The following is an 18,825-nucleotide window of genomic DNA, read 5'->3' as shown; positions in this document are numbered from 1 at the left end:
ACAACAGAATCCCCTGGGGAGCCTTTTAGAAATTCAGGTTTTGGGGCCCTCCCCCAGATCTATTCATTGCAAACAAGTTTAGGAGCAGGCAGTGAGAGCAAACATTCTTTCCAGGACAAGCTGAGGGGAGAGGTGGCTCTCAGATGACTTCCAGCTCAGAGGGCTGAGTCTAGATTTGCAGCTGCAATTCTGATTCTGACCTCAAGGCTCAATGATCTGATTCTACAGAGTTTAGTCTGTATGTGTGTGTGTATGTGTGTGTATCTTTTTAATTTTTTTTTTTTTTTGGCAGGGTCTTGATCTGTCACCCAGGTTGGAGTGCAGTGGTACGATCACAACTCACTGCAGCCTCAAACTCCTGGCCTCAAGCAATCCTCTTGCCTCAGCCTCCCAAGTAGCTGGGACTACAGGTGTACACCACCACACCCAGCTAATTTTTTATTTTTTGTAGAGATGGGGGTCTCAATATGTTACCCAGGCTAGTTTTGAACTCCTGGCCTCAAATGATCCTCCCACCTCAGCCTCCCAAAGTGCTGGGATTACAGGCATGAGCCACTGTACCCAGCCCCTATATAAATAAATATATATATAAATATATATATATATACACACACACACACACACACACATACATACACTATATAGTGTTTTCTGTTAAGATTCCAGTTTTAGGATGCTGAACGTTCTAATTTTCACAATTCTAAAAGACCAACATAAGGGTAGAAGTTTCCAGTACTGCAATTCCCTGGCCATGTTCTTTCTTCTTGGGGGGCCTGGTCCTCTGTCCTCAGCTGGGGGCTGTGGTGGTTTTTTAATATTTTCAAATTACAGGATGAAATTTCTTCAGGGCCTAAGCCCCTCCTATAACCTTTCCATCTCAGACGTTCCCTGCCCCCAGCTCCAATCCTTTCAAATCCCAGCCTCTCCCACATTCTCTGGAGGATTGAGGGGCCTCTCTGGGAAGGAGACTCTGCTGTCAGGTGGGCATCGCCCACTCCCTTCTTACAAGCCAAGCTTGGAGAAGTTCACAGAGAAGCTCAGAAACAGGGTGAGGTCACACAGCCAAAGAGAGGCAGTCTGGGCAGAGCCCAGGGGGAGGTTCCGCTGCTATTGGCCTTCTGGATGCTATGCCAGAGGGAGAGAACAACCCCTTGGCCAGAGCTGAGGAATCCCTGGTGGGTTCTTCCTGTCACCGCTTCCAACTGGGCCACACTAGGGCCCTCTCTGCAGTTCCCCCCACCCGCTCACTCCATCCTCATCCTCACCACAGCCCTGCATGTCATTCCCACATGCTGCCACCGGATGACGGCAGTCAACCAGGAACAGGTCGCAGCCAGGCTTGTCAAGGAGCGCATTTCTGAAACGGGGTCGTGTTGCGGTTCTCTCCTAGCAGGACTGGAGCAGGGTGGAGGGTAGCCGAGGGCAAGGGACAGGCTGCCTCAGACCGAAGGACTGACTGCCTCAGGCTGAAGGACAACAGTTGCAATGGGGACTTCAGCTGAATGGCCTTCTCAGCTGTGCAGAGAGTGTCAGACTCAGAGGTCCCTGTCCCAGGTCCTTCCTTGCACAGAAGGGAAATCTGACTCAGAGCATGACCTCCTGCCCAGACATCTGGCCCAGGTGACCTATGGGGATTACACCTCTCCATTTTCGCTTGGAAGAAAATTTCTTTTTTCTGTCTTTGTTTGTTTGTTTTTTAAGATGGGTAATAGCTCTATCGCCCAGACTGGAGGTCGGTGACATGATCCCGGCTCACTGCAGCCTCGACCTGCAGGGATCAGTTGATCCTCCCACCTCAGCCTCCCAAGTAACTGGGACTACAGATGCACACCACAATACCCAGCTATGTTTAAAATTATCTGTAGAGAAAGAGTCTTGCTATGTTGCCCAGACTGGTCTTGAACTCCTGGGCTCAAGCGATCCTCCTGCCTCAGTCTCCCAAAGTACTGGGATGACAGGTGTGAGCGACCGCACCCAGCCCAGAGGAAAATTTCAAGCCATCGTATGTGGACCTTCTAACTCAGGAAATGTGCATTCTTATAATACAAATAATAGTAATGATGAGGATGAGGATGATGACGTCATCTTATATTTATGGAGCACCTATTCTGCACCAAACATAGCTAAGCATTTCAGGTGCAATATCTAATTTCCTTTGCTTTTCTCTCTTCAGCATAAATCATAACTACCATTTTTCTACCAATTCCTCTTACTAACCTCGCATTTCCCACCTATCTCCTGCCACCTTCACAGCTACGTTGCCAGCTAACTTCTAGGAGGAAAAACTGAGGCTCAAGTTCAAGTCATTCAAAATCCATCAGTCTCACCCATTCATTCATTCCGTGAATATGCATAAAGTGCCTACTGTGTGCCTGGTACTGTCCTGGGTGCTGGTGATAAAGACCCTGCCTTGTCCTCCAAGCGTTCAGTCTGCAGACAGTCAATTCCAACAATGTGATAAGACCTTCCATGAGGACAGGATCTAGCATATCCTGTCTAAGGCATACAGGGGTTAGGGAGCTCCTCCTCCAGGACCAGATAGCCAAGCTGAGAATTAAAGAGTGCGAGGTGTTAATGAGATGGGTGGGGAGGGGGAGGAAACAGCACTTGCAAAATCCTGGAGAAGCTATTCATGGGGGCGCCAGCCCTGGAATTGCTAAGCCTCCTAAGCTGTCAGATCCTGGAACATGTGGACTCAGCCCTGGGGTCTGATGGCTCCCACTCAGCCCCCCATGACTCCCACCCTCACCCATAGCCATAGCCAACCTACCATCCACAAGGTGGAATGGATCCTCCAGCCAGACTTGTAGCTGAAGAAGCCTTCTCGCAAGTGGGTCTTCTAGTCCTTGCTGTTTTACCCGCTGCCCCTCCTTACCCCCCACTGCAGAACCCTCCCAGCCACAGAGTCCTCCCATCGAAGGCCCAGCAGAGAGAAGCTGTCCACCTTATCCTGCCTGAACTCCTGATCCACAGAACCCAGGAACATGATAAAATGGTTGTTTGTTTATGCCTCTGAGGTTGAGGAGGTTGTTTCATGCAATGGACAGCTGGAATGGGGTTTATGGTGGCACCTCTCTCCTAGAGTGGGAGGCAGGGAAGTGAGGTGGGTAAGAGCAGACAGAAGATCACGAATCCCGTCGCCGCCAGTGACGCCAGCTATGAGCCTTTAGGCAAGATCCTGTATCTCTCCCTGTGCCTCAGTTTTCTCATCTTCTTTTTTTTTTTTTTTTTTTTTTTGAGACGGAATCTCGCTCTGTCGCCCAGGCTGGAGTGCAGTGGCGCGATCTCGGCTCACTGCAAGCTCCGCCTCCCGGGTTCATGCCATTCTCCTGCCTCAGCCTCCCGAGTAGCTGGGACTACAGGTGCCCACCACCACGCCCGGCTAATTTTTTCTATTTTTTGGTAGAGACGGGGTTTCACCGTGTTAGCCAGACTGGTCTCAATCTGACCTCGTGATCGCCTGCCTTGGCCTCCCAAAGTGCTGGGATTACAGGCGTGAGCCACCGCACCCGGCCCAGTTTTCTTGTCTTTAAAGGGGGATAATAAAAGTACCCCTCTTGGTGTCACTGTGAAGTTAAAATACGTGAATACATGAGAAAGGCTTCATAATAAGTACTCAATACAATTTTTAAGATGATTATATCTCTTTCATTTCTTCATTCAACAAACATTTCCTAAGCACTAACTCTGAGCCAGGAACTGTGCCAAGCATTTCACATTAAAAACTTAAATTCATCCTCCTCAGAGCCATCTGAAGTGGGTTCTATTATTCTTTCCACTTTTTACAGAGGGGGAATCCGAGGCTCAGAAAGTAAGTAGTGGAATGGGAACTCAAAACCCTTGCCCTCCACCAGGCGACTACTCCATGAGCGGGCATCCACAGGCACAGTCCCACTCAGCCTGAGAAGATGAGCCTCAGGGAGAATCAGCGTGTCCAGAGCGGCACTGCCGTGTCGTCGGCTCAGCGCTGTCCCCGTGTGGCAAAAATGCCTCATCCAGAAAAGGAACTCCAAACACCCTTACTCAAATTAGATGACAATAAAGCCACACAGAGCTACCATTTTCCACCTATCTGATTGGCTAAGAGCCATAAAAAAGAAAAAAAAAGAAAATGAAACCACAGGGCCTGGGCTGGGTGGGGGTAAGCCGCCACCCTCCCCTACCTTCCTCAGGAGAGGGTGACTTGACCCAGCCTCTACAGAAGGTGAGTTGACATCTATTCAAATCACAGCGCACATGTCCCCTGACCCAGCAATCCACCTCTAGGGATTCATCCTCCAATTAGCCTGGCCCAGGGCCAGGCGCAGTGGCTCACGCCTGTAATCCCAGCACTTTGGGAGGCCGAGGCAGGCGGATCACGAGGTCAGGAGATCGAGACCATCCTGGCTAACATGGTGAAACCCCGTCTTTATTAAAAAATACAAAAAAATTAGCCGGGCACGGTGGCGGGCACCTGTAGTCCCAGCTACTCAGAAGGCTGACGCAGGAGAATGGCGTGAACCTGGGAGGCAGAGCTTGCAGTGAGCTGAGATAGCGCCACTGCACTCCCGCCTAGGCGAAAGAGTGAGATTCTGTCTCAAAAATAAATAAATAAATAAATAACAATTAGCCTGGCCCACATGCTGCAGAACAAGTGTACCTGCTTACACAGCTGTTCCCTGCAGTCCTGTGTATGATCACAAAATGCTGGAAACATCCTAAATATCTAGAGGACAGGCATTGCGATACAATGTCACAGCACTCAGTGCAACACCGCATGGCCGAGAAGCACCACGAGGAAGGATTTGACACAATGACGGGGCAGTCCCTGAGACGAATTGCCAAGTGAAAAAAGCAAGTTGCAGAACAGCGCGCATAGTAAGCCCCCACGCGGGGGGACGGGAAGGAGGGAAAATACACGTGTGTACGATTCATGAATGCACAAAACCTACAGGTGACAAAACACTCTAGAAACCAGTAACAGTGATGGCTCTGGGTGGGGAGAGGTTAGAGTGGATGGAAAGAGAGGAGGCTTACCTTTATCTTTGGTCCCTTTTGAATTTTTAGCCATGGGAATATACTACCAAGTCGAGAAAAACAAAAATGAAATACTTAGGAGACATTTTGAAAACTGATCTTTAAATACTCTTAATAAGGATTTAAATGGCTTTGACATAAATTCCAAAATGAGGCATTTTTCGGAGAGTGCCTTGAAGACAGACACATCCTTTAGCTTAAGAAGTGAGTCTCCACATTTAACCCCTGGGTGTGGTGCCCCAGCTGCCTGCCAAAGAGTGAGGGTCCAGCCCTGGGGTGAGCCGCTGCATGCTGTAGCTGTCCCAAGATCCACTTCCTCTCGTCCACACAGGTCCCACCCATCTCCACCTGCTGCACAGGTGTAGTATTAAACTTCTGCTAACACATGGTCCAGACAGACTCAGGGGTGGTCTGTACCTATGCTCACTGGGGTCCCTCAGTCCACCCCAAAGTGGAGAAGATAGAGTCCCCCAGCAAGTCACACGACCTGGGTGTGTATCAGAGCTCTATGTGCAGCTGGCGGCTTGACTTTGGATGAGTCGCTAACCCACTGAGCCTCCCTTTTTGCAGCTGCAAAGGAGACAGAAGCAATAAGTCGCCTTCCCAGGGGTGGTAGAGGACGAAATGATATGAGGCATGTAAAGCCTTGGCACACAGTAGGGCTAAGTAATGCTCATGCTCAATATTCTAACTCCATTCATTCTTTCATTTGCTCATCAATCCCCTTGACCCCCAGTCGAATCTGTCCTTCAGCCTAGACATTCCTTCTCCAGGAGGCCTTATCTGATCCGCCATCTCTTCCCCAATCGGAAGTCACTCTTCCTCCTGTGACCCCATCTCCCTCCTGTGATCCCATCTGCCTCTGGTGATCCTATCTCCCCCATGTGACTCCCTCCCTTCCCTCCTCCGAAGCGCCATCAGATACCTTGGACCATGGCAGATCTCTATTCAGTCTAAGTCCTGTCACTGTATGGGCCACAAGAGAGCGGCACTGACCAGGAAGCAGAAGGAGCCAGGCCTGAATTCAAGGCTGGAGAGAATACACGCACCGCTCACAGCTGGGCGGCCCTGCTGTGCACCGGACACCTTGCTGCGTGCCAGGCACCTGGCTGAGCACTCTGCATGGTTTCGCTCATCGGAGCCTCGAGGGTTCCCCATGAGAAAGGCACTACTATCGCCACCCTTCCATCATCCCCCATTTTACCTGCTGTATCGTATTTATTTTTTTACTTGGACTTAGGGTGCCAAGACCTGGGTTAAACATCCTCATCAATTCTGCAAACTGTCTGTTGCACAGTTGGATTGAATTGGATTTCGCTCTTGATGCTCTTCTGCCCTTTCCCCTCCCCCTCCCCCCAGGCATCTGCTCCTGTGAGTCTGTTCTCTGGGCTTGAATGTGTGTGAATCCTTTTAACGCGTGTAGGGATGTTCTGTAGCTTGTGAGTTTTTTTCATTCATAGAAATGGGCCGGGCCTGGTGGCTCACGCTTGTCATCCCAGCACTTTGAAAGGCTGAGGCGGGTGGATCACCGGAGGTCGGGAGTTCGAGTTCAGCCTGGCCAACATGGCGAAACCCCGTTTTTACTAAAAATACAAACATTAGCTGGGCGTGGTGGTGCATGCCTGTAATCTCAACTACTCCGGAGGCTGAGGCAGGAGAATCGCTTGAACCCAGGAGGCGGAGGTTGCAGTGAGCCGAGATTGCGCCACTGCACTGCAGCCTGGGCGAAAAAGTGAGACTCTGTCGCAAAAAAAAAAAAAAAAAAAAAAAAAAAAAAAAAAAATCACAGAAATGGTCGTGTGCTACAGATTTCCCCGTCTTCTATTTTTTTTTTCTCTCATGCACCTGGTGTTTTTTATTTTTACTTTTTGGTTTTCTTTTTCATCTGGTTTTTTATTCATTTTATTCTTGTATTTATTTATTTATTTATTTTTATTATTTTTTTGAGATGGAGTCTCACTCTGTCGCCCAGGCTGGAGTGCAGTGGTGTGATCTTGGCTCACAGCAGCCTCAGTCTCCCAGATTCAAGCAATTCTCCTGCCTCAGCCTCCTCAGTAGCTGGGATAATAGGTGCGCACCACCACACCTGGCTAATTTTTGTATTTTTAGTAGAAATTGGGTCTCATCGTGTTGGCCAGGTTGGTCTTGAATTCCTGACCTCAAATGATGCACCTGCCTCAGCCTCCCAAAGTGCTGGGATTCAGGCATGAGCCACCGCACTCATCCCTTATCTGGTATTTTTTAGAGGCCCCTGCAGTTTGCTTTTCCTGGCATCTACATGGATTCTCACCTACTGCTCACATCCTCAAACACCATCACAGTGACCCATGACCTCGAATGGGCTCCTTCTGGAGCTGCAGGAGAATTTCTCTGGGGTATACACTCAAGAGGAAAATGCCTGGGTCATCAGATATACTCTTTCTTAGGCTCTTAGGTACTAAACCAGTCCAAACACCCAGCAGCAGAACATGGAATTCCCATCGCCCACACCCTCATGAATACTTGGAAGTTCCTGACTCTACTATTTGCTAATCCAGGGAATGGAGGTAAAGGGTGTGCCTCACTGCTATTTAGCTCTTGTTTCTCCGACTACTACTGAGGTTGAGCATCTTGTTGCTTGCTTGTTTGCCGCATTTTACAGGTGAGGCAACTGAGGCTCAGGGCCCTAGGTCGTAGGAGGTGGAGCCAAGCACACAGCCAGGTCTGTGAGAGGCCGAGACCCTGCTCTGAGTCCTCACACTGGGGAGCCTCCTCCACATCAACAGTGATGCATTCATCATCCAACAGTTCAAGTATGATTGCTCGCACCTTCATGATCTTAGGGGACTGTGGTAGGGGGCAATGGCTTTGAAAAAGCAGAAGCAATTCCTGCCCATTAATCCAATGACAAGCAAGAGGAGCTGTTCAGGAGGCTGGACCTCACTGTCGGGCGGGGCAGGGAAGGTACTGGGGCATCAAGAGGGGTCTGCGGATGGCCAAGCCCACCCATCATGTTGAGTGGACACAAAGGAGGAAGCAGGAGCCGCCAGGACCGAGGGCATAGAGGGTGTCTCGTCCCATGTCAGGGCTGGTGCAAGCTAGACTTTCCCCATTCCTTCTCTGACCTTACCTCCTGCCCTCTCCTCCTTGCCCCACCCACTGGCCTTTTTCTTTCATTAAAAACACCAAACTCATTCTGGCCTCAGGGCCCTTGCACTTGCTATCCCCTCTGCCTGGAATGCTCCTCCCCCAGATCTCCACATGGCTAGTTCCTTCTCTCCCTCTACATCTCAGTTCAAATGTTACCTCTTCAGATGCACTTGCTATCCCCTCTGCCTGGAATGCTCCTCCCCCAGATCTCCACATGGCTAGTTCCTTCTCTCCCTCTACATCTCAGTTCAAATGTTACCTCTTCAGAGAGGCTTTCCCTGATAACCTTCTTTAAATATCGTACCCCCTCCAAATCATTCTCTATTTAGTGCCTTGAAAATGTTTTCTTCCTAACTCTTATCATGATCTAAAATTATTTTCTTTACCTGTTTACCTCTTTTTTTTTTCTTTTGAGACAGTCTCACTCTGTCTGCAGGCTGCAGAGTAGTGGCACGATCTCAGCTCACTGCAACCTCTGCCTCCTGGGTTCAAGTGATCCTCCTGCCTCACCCAAATCTCATCTCAAATTGTAATCCCCATAATTCCCACATGTCAAGGGTGGAACCTGGCGGGAGGTGATTGGATCATGGAGGCAGTTTCCTCCATGCTATTCTCAAGATAGTGAGTGAGTTCTCACAAGATCTGATGGTTTTAAAAGGGACTCTTTCCCCTTCACCTCCTTCACACGCTCTCTCACCTGCTGCCATGTAAGACGTGCCTGCTTCCCCTGCTTCCCCCTTCTGCCATGATTGTAAGCTTCTTGATGCCCCCCCAGCCATGCAGAACTATGAGTCAATTAAACCTCTTTACTTTATAAATTAGCCCATCTCGAGTAGTCTCTTTATAGCTGTGTGAGACTAGACTCATACAGCAGTTATTTCCAGTTTTTGGTGATTATGAGAAAAGCTGCTGTAAATATTTGCCTACAGTTTTTCTTTTTAAAACACAAACTTCTCTTGCATTACTCTTTGTACCTAAGAGTAGGACAGCTGGGTCATTTTATAAGAAATTACCAAACTGTTTTTCTAAGTTCCAGTTGTTAGATACCCTCTCCAGGTATTATCAGTTATTTTTCATGTTAGTCTTCTAACAGGTATGTAGTGGTAGCCCGTTGTGGTTTTAATATATGTTTCCCTGATGACTGATAACATTGAGTATCTTTTCATGTGTGTTTTTGCCATCAATATCTGTTTTTGGGTGAAATGTCTTTTTAAACCTTTTTCTCATTTGTTATTGGATTATTTGTTCTTATTATTGAGTTGTGAAAGCACTCAATATATATTCTGGATATGAGTCTTTTATCAGATATGACTTTTGCAAATATCTTCACCTAATCTGTGGCTTGTCTTTTCATTTTCTTGATAGCATCATTTGAAGAGCAGAAGTTTTGAATTTTGATTAAGTCAAATTTATCTTTTTTTCTTTTACGGTTTATGCTTTTTGTGTAGTACCTAAAAAAATCTTTGCCTAACTCAAGGTCACAAAGATTTCCCTTCCATGTTGCTGTCTGGAAGTTTTACAGTTTTAAGTTTTACGTTTAGATTTATGGTAGATTTCAAGTTAATTCTTGTATATGGCAGGGGGTGGAAATTGATATTTTTTTAAACATATGGATGTAAAATGCAATTTCACTTCTAGAAAGTTATTCTACATATATTCTCCTACAAATGTACAAAATGGGTATGTATTGCAACCTTCCTTTAAAGAGCAAAATGTTGGAAACAGCCCCTGCTCATCTCTTGAAGACTGGTTAAGGGGCTCTTCCCCCTTTGCTTCTTCACACACTCTCTCGCCTGCTGCCATGTAAGATGTGCCTGCTTCCCCTTCTGCCATGATTGTAGGTTTCCTGAGGCCTCCCCAGTTACAAGGAACTGTGAGTCAATTAAAACTCTTTCCTTTATAAATTACCCATCCCTGCAATTGGCCCATCTATGCAATGGTGAACCATAAAGACACAGAGCTGGCATCCAGCTAGCAGCCATATACTACTGTAGGGTTGTGCACTGCTCGGGCCCATCCTGATTGGTCAGTTGAAAGTTGTGTAATATTCTGAAACCATCTTCGCCAAGCATCCAAAAAAAAAAAAGAAGCACTTTATGGAGTGACATAGGAAGATCTCTAAAGGGTATTGTTAAAGTAACAAAAGGACAGTGTGAAATACTGTGTGTGAAGTTTGTCATCACTGGGTAAAAAATTCCTATGTGTGCATACCGTATCTCTGGGCAGATTCTCAAGAAATTGGTGACAGGGTTTTTGCCTCGGGGAAGAGGGGTCTGGGTGTCTGGAGGGCAGGGGTGGGAGACAGGCTTACTGTTACCTATGACCCCTTTTGTACCTTTGAAATTTTATGCTATGGATATGTACTATACATTCAGAAAGTAAATACAAAAAGAAAATAAAACCAAAGAAACCCTACTTTCCTGGGGGTTCCTGGTCCTCCTTCATGTTTCTCTTTAGCTATCACAGGACACAGTGGCTCTGCCAAGCCAGCTTGATGGAGAATGCCTGTTTCTCAGATGGGGAAACTGAGGCTCGGAGCAGGGCTGGCATTCCCAAGGTCACCTGGCCTGAACCCAGCTACCTCAGGTATCCCCCAGGGCCAGGGGGGTTGAGAACCAAGGAAGAGGCCCTAAGTCCCACCTCTCAGGGACTCAGAGGGAGTCATTTAAGGCCCCACTAAGAGCCAAGCCCATCTGGAAGCTATCGCCACCCCAACCCTGGGCTGTGGAGGAGGGGAGGGCGGCGACCCCAGACTGTGAGTGCATCTGTTCCTCATCAAGGCTCGTGCTCTGGACTGAGTGCCAGCCTTGGAAATCCCACTTCACATCCAGGCCAGGCCACCCTCATACCAGCCACCCTCCCCAGTGGGACCCGAACAACCCCACGGTGCATGTGGAGAAACAGCCCAGAGAGCTGCAGGCGGCAGTGGGTTTCTAGTTCCAGTTGGCACGTTCCTTTACCTCTCAAAGCTCCAGGTTCCCTGAAGCTCTCTGCACACTCAGTACAGCCTCCAATGAGCAACATCTGATATCTCCCAACATCCCTCCTAGTCTCTTTATTATTATTTGGGCTGGAGGTGCCCAAATAATACCAACAGCTAATGTGCCCAGCACCCTTTCCAGCACTGAGCATATATCAACTCATCTGAACTTTACAGCAGCCTTCTGAGCTACGTGCTCTTACTAGCTTGGCTTTTCTGATGACCCAGCTTATGCTCAGAGACATCAAGTAATTTATCCGAAGTCACACAACCGGCAGGGGACACAGCCAGGATTTGAATCAGGGCACAAGGCTCCAAAGCCCTCACTGCAAAGCACTCCTCCATGCACCCAAACCTCTTCCCCGTCGATCGCTGATTCTTGCGGGTGCCTGTGATGGTGTCCACCGACATGAAGATAAACACTGATCCCAGCCAGAGCTGACCGACTGAGAGACACGCATCTATTGCACGGCTGTGAGATGAGTCTCGACCCTCTGGCCACCTGGAACTGATCGGAACAAGAAAACAAGAGAGGCAAGGAGGCTGGGGACTGCCAGGATGGAAGAGTGAGGGCAACAGGCATCCTCTCACATGGGGGCTGGAGTCTAGAACAGCCTGCGGGAGAGGAGGGGATTGACAGGACCCCCAAATGTAAGGAGCACATGCTGCCCGTCAGTCTCATGTCCAGAAACCTGCCTTAGAGAAATGTGCCATGCGCACAAAGAGGCGCTGAGGAGGACTTTCCCTGAAGCCCTGTTAGGAGGAATCTGGCTGCAGCCCAGATGTCCATCAGAGGCAGTTGGCTGTACTGATGGCGGCCCAGCCACACGGTGCAAAGCGATGCAGCGATGACGAAGCTTGATGTAGGGCTCACTCATTGCGCCAACAGGGCTCCGTCCAGAGCCCATTGTGCAGCAGACAAAGGAAGCTGCAGGGCAGTGTGCATAGCGCAGCCATGCGTGGGAGCAGAGCCGTGAGTGAATGGACGGAACACAACCTAATTCTTTGCCTTATATCCTTCTAGAACTTTTTTCACAGAATTAATCATTGCGGTATCAAAATTAGAAAGAGAGCAGGCATGCCATGCCGTGCCTGGCACATGGTAGGGGCTCCGTGTTTTGAACCTCTGATGACTTGTTTGGTGCTGGGTACAGCTGTGAAGAGGGATGTCAGGGTCCTCGTTCCCAGATTGTGGCTCCCAAGGCCTGACTGAGAGCAACTTTGAGGGAAGTGGCAGGAGAGGTGCAGGGAAGCTGGGGCAAGGGAACAGTGGGAGTCTGGGGGCTGAAGTCTTACAGTGGATTCACTGAGGGCTTACGATGGCTCAGGCGCCATTCTAAGTAGGACATCTTCCAATATCAGTCCCATTTTACAAATGGAGAAACTGAAACCCAGAGGGCTTAACTCACAGATAGTAAATAACAAAGTTAGGCTGCAACCCCAGGCCATCTGACATCAAACCCCATGCTCCTAATCACTATTTCCGTCCAGCCCTGAGGAGTGGCTGACGGGCTGCCCAACTCACCTTCCACCCACAAACCTCCTGCCCAGTCTGAATGCTGGCCCGGGAGCCTGAAGACCGGCTGGTGACCCACTCGTTCTTCTGCTCCTCCGTCACTTCCAATGTGGGATGACAGCAGCCAGCAGCGGGTGGCCACTCAGCCAAGGGGGCTGGGAGTGATTAGGGCCAAGCCAAGTCTTCTGGATAGAGGTGCCTTCTACATTTTAATCAAGCGGAGCACAGAAAGACCAGCTCAAGTTGCTGTTCTTCAGTAGGGCTGGGCTGGACTGGAGGAGAGAAGGGCACGCAGTTAGGAAAGGGGAGAGAAGTGGTGGGGGGATGGGGCAGGAGCTACGATGAGATAGGGAGGCAGAAGGAATGCGGAGGGCCCCTGGGTTCTGAAGACCAGTCCTCCTGGAGTTAGCAGACAGTCCTGGGGTTTCGTCTCCTTCCTGTCTGCTTCCTCCTCTCTCCGGCTTTCAAAATATCTACCCTAGTAGACATGTAGGCTCAGGGACAATTTCAGGTCCTGTCTTCTCCTACTGATGGAAACTTTCTTTTTCAGGGGAGTAAAACTGGGGTCCCTGCAGAAGGGTGTCTGGGTGAGGAGCACTGGAAGGCTTGAGCAGAGAGGGCCTGGCTGCATCCCATGGCGAGAGGTCCAGTCCCATTTCCCACCCCCACTCCAGGCAGAACATCCGTGGGGTAGATGAATGCTGATCCCCAACACTGACAGAGAGGTGACCAGATGGGAAGCAACCAGGCCAGTCTGAAAGCCAGAAGGGGCCTCAGAACTGTAAACCAAAAATAAAATTACAAGCCCCCTAACTGACTGAATGGACCTCCCTCTCGGCCAACGGGACCCAACAAACCCTGAAAATCTAGTTCAGGCCATGATGGAAAGTGGGGATCAGGCATGCCTCATACCCTCCTCCCTTTGGAATTCAGGCACAGTTGACCAGCATTATCATGAAAACAGAGAGCTTGGCAGGTCGTGGTGGCTCACGCCTGGAAGGCCAAGACGGCGGCAGATCACCTAAGGTCGGAGTTCAAGACCAGCCTGGCCAACATGGTGAAACCCCATCTCTACTAAAAATACACAAATTAGCCAGGCGAGGTGGCACACGCCTGTAATCCCAGCTACTCAGGAGGCTGAGGCAGGAGTATCACTGGAACCTGGGAGGCGGAGGCTGCAGTGAGCCAAGGTAGTGCCACTGCACTCCAGCCTGGGCAACAGAGAGAGACACTGTCTCAAAAAAAAAAAAAAAAAAAAAGAGAGAGAGAGCTTAAGACTGACAAAGCATGCTCTTTGTAGCAATAAGATACCAAATTCCTCATATAGCATCACACAACAGATAGCAGGACCTGAAAGAAATTGAAGTATTTTACCCCAAAATATATTTCTTTGACATATTTTTGAAATGGCCCTACAACTCTGTCTCTTGTAGAGAAAATCTACATCCTGTAGAGAATCCTTTTCCCTTTCCAGGTCTTTTCCTGATGCAGGAGAGATTTAACAAAGAGTCTGGGACCTTTACCCTCTATTCTCTCTGAAGGCTGCTACCTGCAGACTTCATTTGCATAATAAGAACTTTGGTCTCCAAAACCCCTTATCTTAACCCAGACATTCCTTTTTATTGATTCCAGGTCTTTAGATAATAACTTAACTCTTTCAACCAATTGCTGATCAGAAAATCTTTGAATTCACCTATAACCTGGAAGCCGCCCACTTTTCAAGCTTCCTGCCTTTCCCGACAAAACCAATGTACACCCTACATGGATTGATTAATGTCTGCCTGTAACTTCTGTACCCATAAAATGTATAAAACCAAGCTATAACCCAACCACCTTGGGCACATTTTCTCAGGATCTCTTAGGGCTGTGTCACGGGTCTTGATCACTTACATTTGGCTCAGAATAAACCTCTTTAAACAGCGTCTCACTCTGTCCCCCAGGCTGTAGTGCAGTGGCACGATCACAGCTCACTACAGCCTCAACCCCCCTGAGTTCAGGTAAGGTCTACAGGTACGTGCCACCATGCCTGGCTAATTTTTGTATTTTTTTTTTTGTAGAGATCAGGTTTCACCGTGTTGCCCAGGCTGGTCTTGAACCCCTGGGCGATCCTCTAACCTCTGCCTCCCAAAGTGCTGAGATTACAGGCATGAGCCACTGCACCCAGCCACCAATCTGCATTTTGAATACTAATAGCAACACTGGCAATAGCAATAGAATGGCAAAACAACAGTAATGATGGTAATTCCCAGCAGCCACTGAGACCAGGCACTGTGCATTTAATCCTCACCGTAAGCCTGGAACTGGGCCATCCTCATTTCATGGATGAGGAAACTGAGGTACAGGGATGCTGAATAATTTGCCTAAGGACAGACAGCTGGAAAATGGTGGCACCAGACCAGCTCCCTCCTCAAACAGAGGAGAAAAGGGAAGCCCAGAGCGAATGATCAGCTCCAGGTCACACAGCAAGTTAGAGGCCGGGCAGGGGCTGTGAGGGCACTGACTCTCAGGGACAAAGGCATCCTAACCAGACTGACTCCATATTGAATAAAGGCAGAAAAGCCAAACCTGCTGGGTTACATTTCCAGGGGCGTGGACGTGCTTGGTTACAAGATGTTCATGGTTGAGGGAACGAGTTAATGATGTTACTTAAAGACGCAGAACTTATGAAAATGTCCCAATATCTTAAGAACAAAAAAAAATTCTTAGTTTAAGAACAGGTTTCGGCCGGACGCGGTGGCTCACACCTGTAATTCCAGCACTTTGGGAGGCCGAGGCAGGCAGATGGTGAGGTCGGGAGATCGAGAACATCCTGGCTAACACGGTGAAACCCCGTCTCTACTAAAAATACAAAAAAAACTAGCCAGGTGTGGTGGTAGGTGCCTGTAGTCCCAGCTTCTCGGGAGGCTGAGGCAGGAGAATGGCGTGAACCCGGGAGGTGGAGCTTGCAGCGAGCCGAGAGCGCGCCACTGCACTCCAGCCTGGGTGATGGAGCAAGACTCCATCTCAAAAAATAAATAAATAAATAAATAAAAATAAAATAATAGGTTTTGCTTTAAAGATAATAGTACACTCATAAATTCTTGCTAAAATCAATAGTAACATAGGAAAGTAGCAATACTAGTAGCCTGTCACAAGCTGATCATAAGCCTTTGTAACAGAATACACTACTCTTCTTTTTTTTTTTTTTTTTTTTGAGACAGAGTCTCACTCTGTCACCCAGGCTGGAGTGCAGTGGCACCATCTCACTGCAACCTGGACCTTCGGGGCTCCAGCGATCCTCCTGCCTCAGCCTCCTGGGTAGCTAAGACCACAGGCTCAGGCCACCATGCCCAGCTAGTTTTTTGTATTTTTAGTAGAGACAGGGTTTCATTATGTTGGTCAGGCTGGTCCCAAACTCCTAGCCTCAAGTGATCCGCCCGCCTTGGCCGCTCAACATGCTGGGATTACAGGGGTGAGCCCAGAGTACACTACTCTTAACTGCCTATATAAGCAAGCACTGGTACTTGAAATGGGTACGTTCTCCTCTTGCTTTCTGAGGATGCCCTACTCTGTCATTGATTAGTCTCTAATCCTATCTTAACTTCACTATGCTCTGCAACTCACCCTGAATTCTTTCCCATGTGAGATCCAAGAACCCACTCTTGCGATATGGGATAAGACCCTTTTTCCGGTGATATCAGGACCATTCTTTTCCTCTGCTCCACATCAGACCTTCGGGAGGGTGGGAACGCGCTCTTGTTGGTGCCTGGACTCAAGCCCGGGCCTCATCCTCCCTAGGGATCCAGCTTCCACTTGGAGAGAGAGAAAAAGAGAGAGGGAATGAGAGAAAGGAAGGGAGAGGGGAGCAGCTTAAGTCAAGTGGAGAGTGGGGAGGCAAATTTGGGCTGAAACCCCTGTCTCCTCTCCTCATTGGAATACCCTCCTTGCACCCCCCAGAGCTGGCATCCAGATGAGTCTTTTTGGAGGATCATCTACCCCTGCCACCATTGCCCACCAAAACTTGCCACTTGTCCCAACCCACTCCCTCTGCAGCCTCATCCCTCCCCACCCCCCATCACTCCACTCCAGCCACACTGCTCTCTCCTTTCTGTTCCTGAACATGACAAGCTCCTTCCAGCCTCAGGGCCGTAGCACTTGCACTTTGCACTTGCTGTTCCCTCTGCCAGGAACAGCCTGCCCCAGATCTTCACGTGGCTCACTCGTTTGCTGCAGCACTTTCAGCTCCATGTCAGAGAGGTTTCCTCCAACCTCAAGATGCACAGCACCACCTCCTCCCTTCACCCACCGCAGCATCCTGACCTGCTGTCTTCATGTCACTCATCCTTCACCAAACTCCTTTTGTATATTTACGTGTTTGTGTGTTTATTGCCCATTTTCTCCCACTAGAGTCGCAGCCCCTCGAGGTCCAGATTTCTATCTACTTTGTTCACTTCTGTGTCCTCAGCCTATGAATAATGCTGGACATATAATGGGATGAAGGTCCAAGCCCTGATGAAAGGCTGTGCTGGAAGGAAGCTGAGCTCAAGAACATGCCCTTTGGAGAATGTCCTCCGACGCCTCATGGGCCTCTGTATTCTTGTCTGTAAAATGGGACTGACATCAGTAGGGCCTTCATTGCTGGGCCATGGTGAGGATTAAATGAGATCAGGCCTAGGAAGAAACCAGCCCGCAGCTGGTGAGTGGTAAGTTCTCTTGAATATTGGCAGAGCCTCCTATTATTACTGTTGTTAGTATTGTTATTAATCTCTTACCCTGCCTGCAGGCTTGATGTGATGGTGATCATGGGCTGCTCTCTGGCAGTCAAGGCGGGAGGACTGAAGGACAATCTGGTTCCAACACCACAGTGTGGCTGCCGTTGGCTCTTCAGGCCTCCTCACCTCCCACCCTCTGCCTTTGCTGGTGCCCACATGGAATGTCCTCCCGGGCTGACCGTCCTGCAGACTTTTACAGGTGCCCCCCAAGCGGTGCATGTGGGTAACGTTCGTAAGCCCAAGAGGCACCATGCACCAAATACCAAAGAGGTTTTTTCCTTACTCACCAAAAGCCCAACATGGGTGCCCCTGGTAAGTGAGCAGCTCTAGCGCACAAAGATTTCAGGACCCAAGCTCCTGGTGTCCTGCAGCTCTGCCATCTTCCACTGTGGCTGCTGAGGTCTTCAGACCTGTGTGCATCAAACCCATCAAAGGGGAAGGAGTGCAGTGGATTGGAACTAAGGCACGTGGCCACTCCTGACTGCAAGGGAGGCTGTGGAATATGGCCTAGCCACATGGCAGGAGGAAATGGCAGTGGGTTCACTCACTGCTGGATGGTTCCTGCTTCAGATGGGAGCAGATTTTCTCCCTGGGACTCTGGGATTATCAGGGAAGGGTTCACAGAGAAAGCACTCTGGGTGTTGCTGCTGGTCAAAGGGCCACCATGGGGGAGGCACTTGGTCCACTCTTTCTTGAAGACTGGGTCCTTGAAGTGGGTCCTTCCACCCCCGGTTCTAGAGACGCAGGTGCAGAGAGGTGAGGTGACATGGCGAGGCTGCCCACGCACTTGCATGATGGAGACGGGTTTGAACTCAGGTCTGTCTGGCTCAAGAACTCATGCAGGGAGACTGTCTTGGGGCACAGAAAGGACATTGTGCACACTGGCATTCAATGCAGTTTTTATGACTTGTCCTTTTTTCCCAGGAAGATCCCCTATTTGGACTGTTCACTGAATTATCCTCCCCTCACATTCCAAATAAAAATCCTGGAGGATAAATAAGTCAATATCTTCATGTTCCTGGAAACGATGGAAGAAACTTTAAGCCAAGAACAGGGAATTTATTGCCTCCACTGATTCAGAGGTATAGGGAGTGTAGCCACCACTTCCCTACTCTACTAACTTTTGTGCTGGAGAACAACCCTACCCACTCGAAGCCTATGTGGTAAGGGTGGCCACTGGAGTGGTCAATTGGCACATCCCATCTCTGCTGGCCACCACAGTCCATTGCAGAATGACAGCATGACCCCATTAGAACCAATATGATGCCTTCCCAGGGTTTTTATAGGGACCTGAGACAGAGAGTTGTATTAGTCAGGAATGCTTTCAGCTACAAGTAACAAGGAATTTAATGCAGTGGCTTGAACATTGGAAGTTTATTTTTCTCTTAGGAAGAAGTCTGAAGTTAGGAGTCCAGCAACTTAACAATGTCATG

The 18,825-nt window shown here is 49.1% G+C and overlaps 2 annotated features.

Moving 5' to 3' along the window:
- Positions 5,608–6,108: an enhancer, noted in NCBI's record as "H3K4me1 hESC enhancer chr20:932465-932965 (GRCh37/hg19 assembly coordinates)". NCBI's record gives its function as "activates a minimal SCP1, AML or CMV promoter by ChIP-STARR-seq in primed H9 embryonic stem cells {active_cell/tissue: H9 hESC(primed)}" and the evidence as "EXISTENCE:reporter gene assay evidence [ECO:0000049][PMID:30033119]".
- Positions 12,075–12,684: an enhancer, noted in NCBI's record as "H3K4me1 hESC enhancer chr20:925889-926498 (GRCh37/hg19 assembly coordinates)". NCBI's record gives its function as "activates a minimal SCP1, AML or CMV promoter by ChIP-STARR-seq in naive H9 embryonic stem cells {active_cell/tissue: H9 hESC(naive)}" and the evidence as "EXISTENCE:reporter gene assay evidence [ECO:0000049][PMID:30033119]".

This window comes from Homo sapiens, chromosome 20, assembly GCF_000001405.40.
Source record: "Homo sapiens chromosome 20, GRCh38.p14 Primary Assembly".
NCBI lineage: Eukaryota > Metazoa > Chordata > Mammalia > Primates > Hominidae > Homo > Homo sapiens.
The sequence above is the reverse complement of the archived record's forward strand: the minus strand, read 5'-3'. Positions and strand labels throughout refer to the sequence as shown.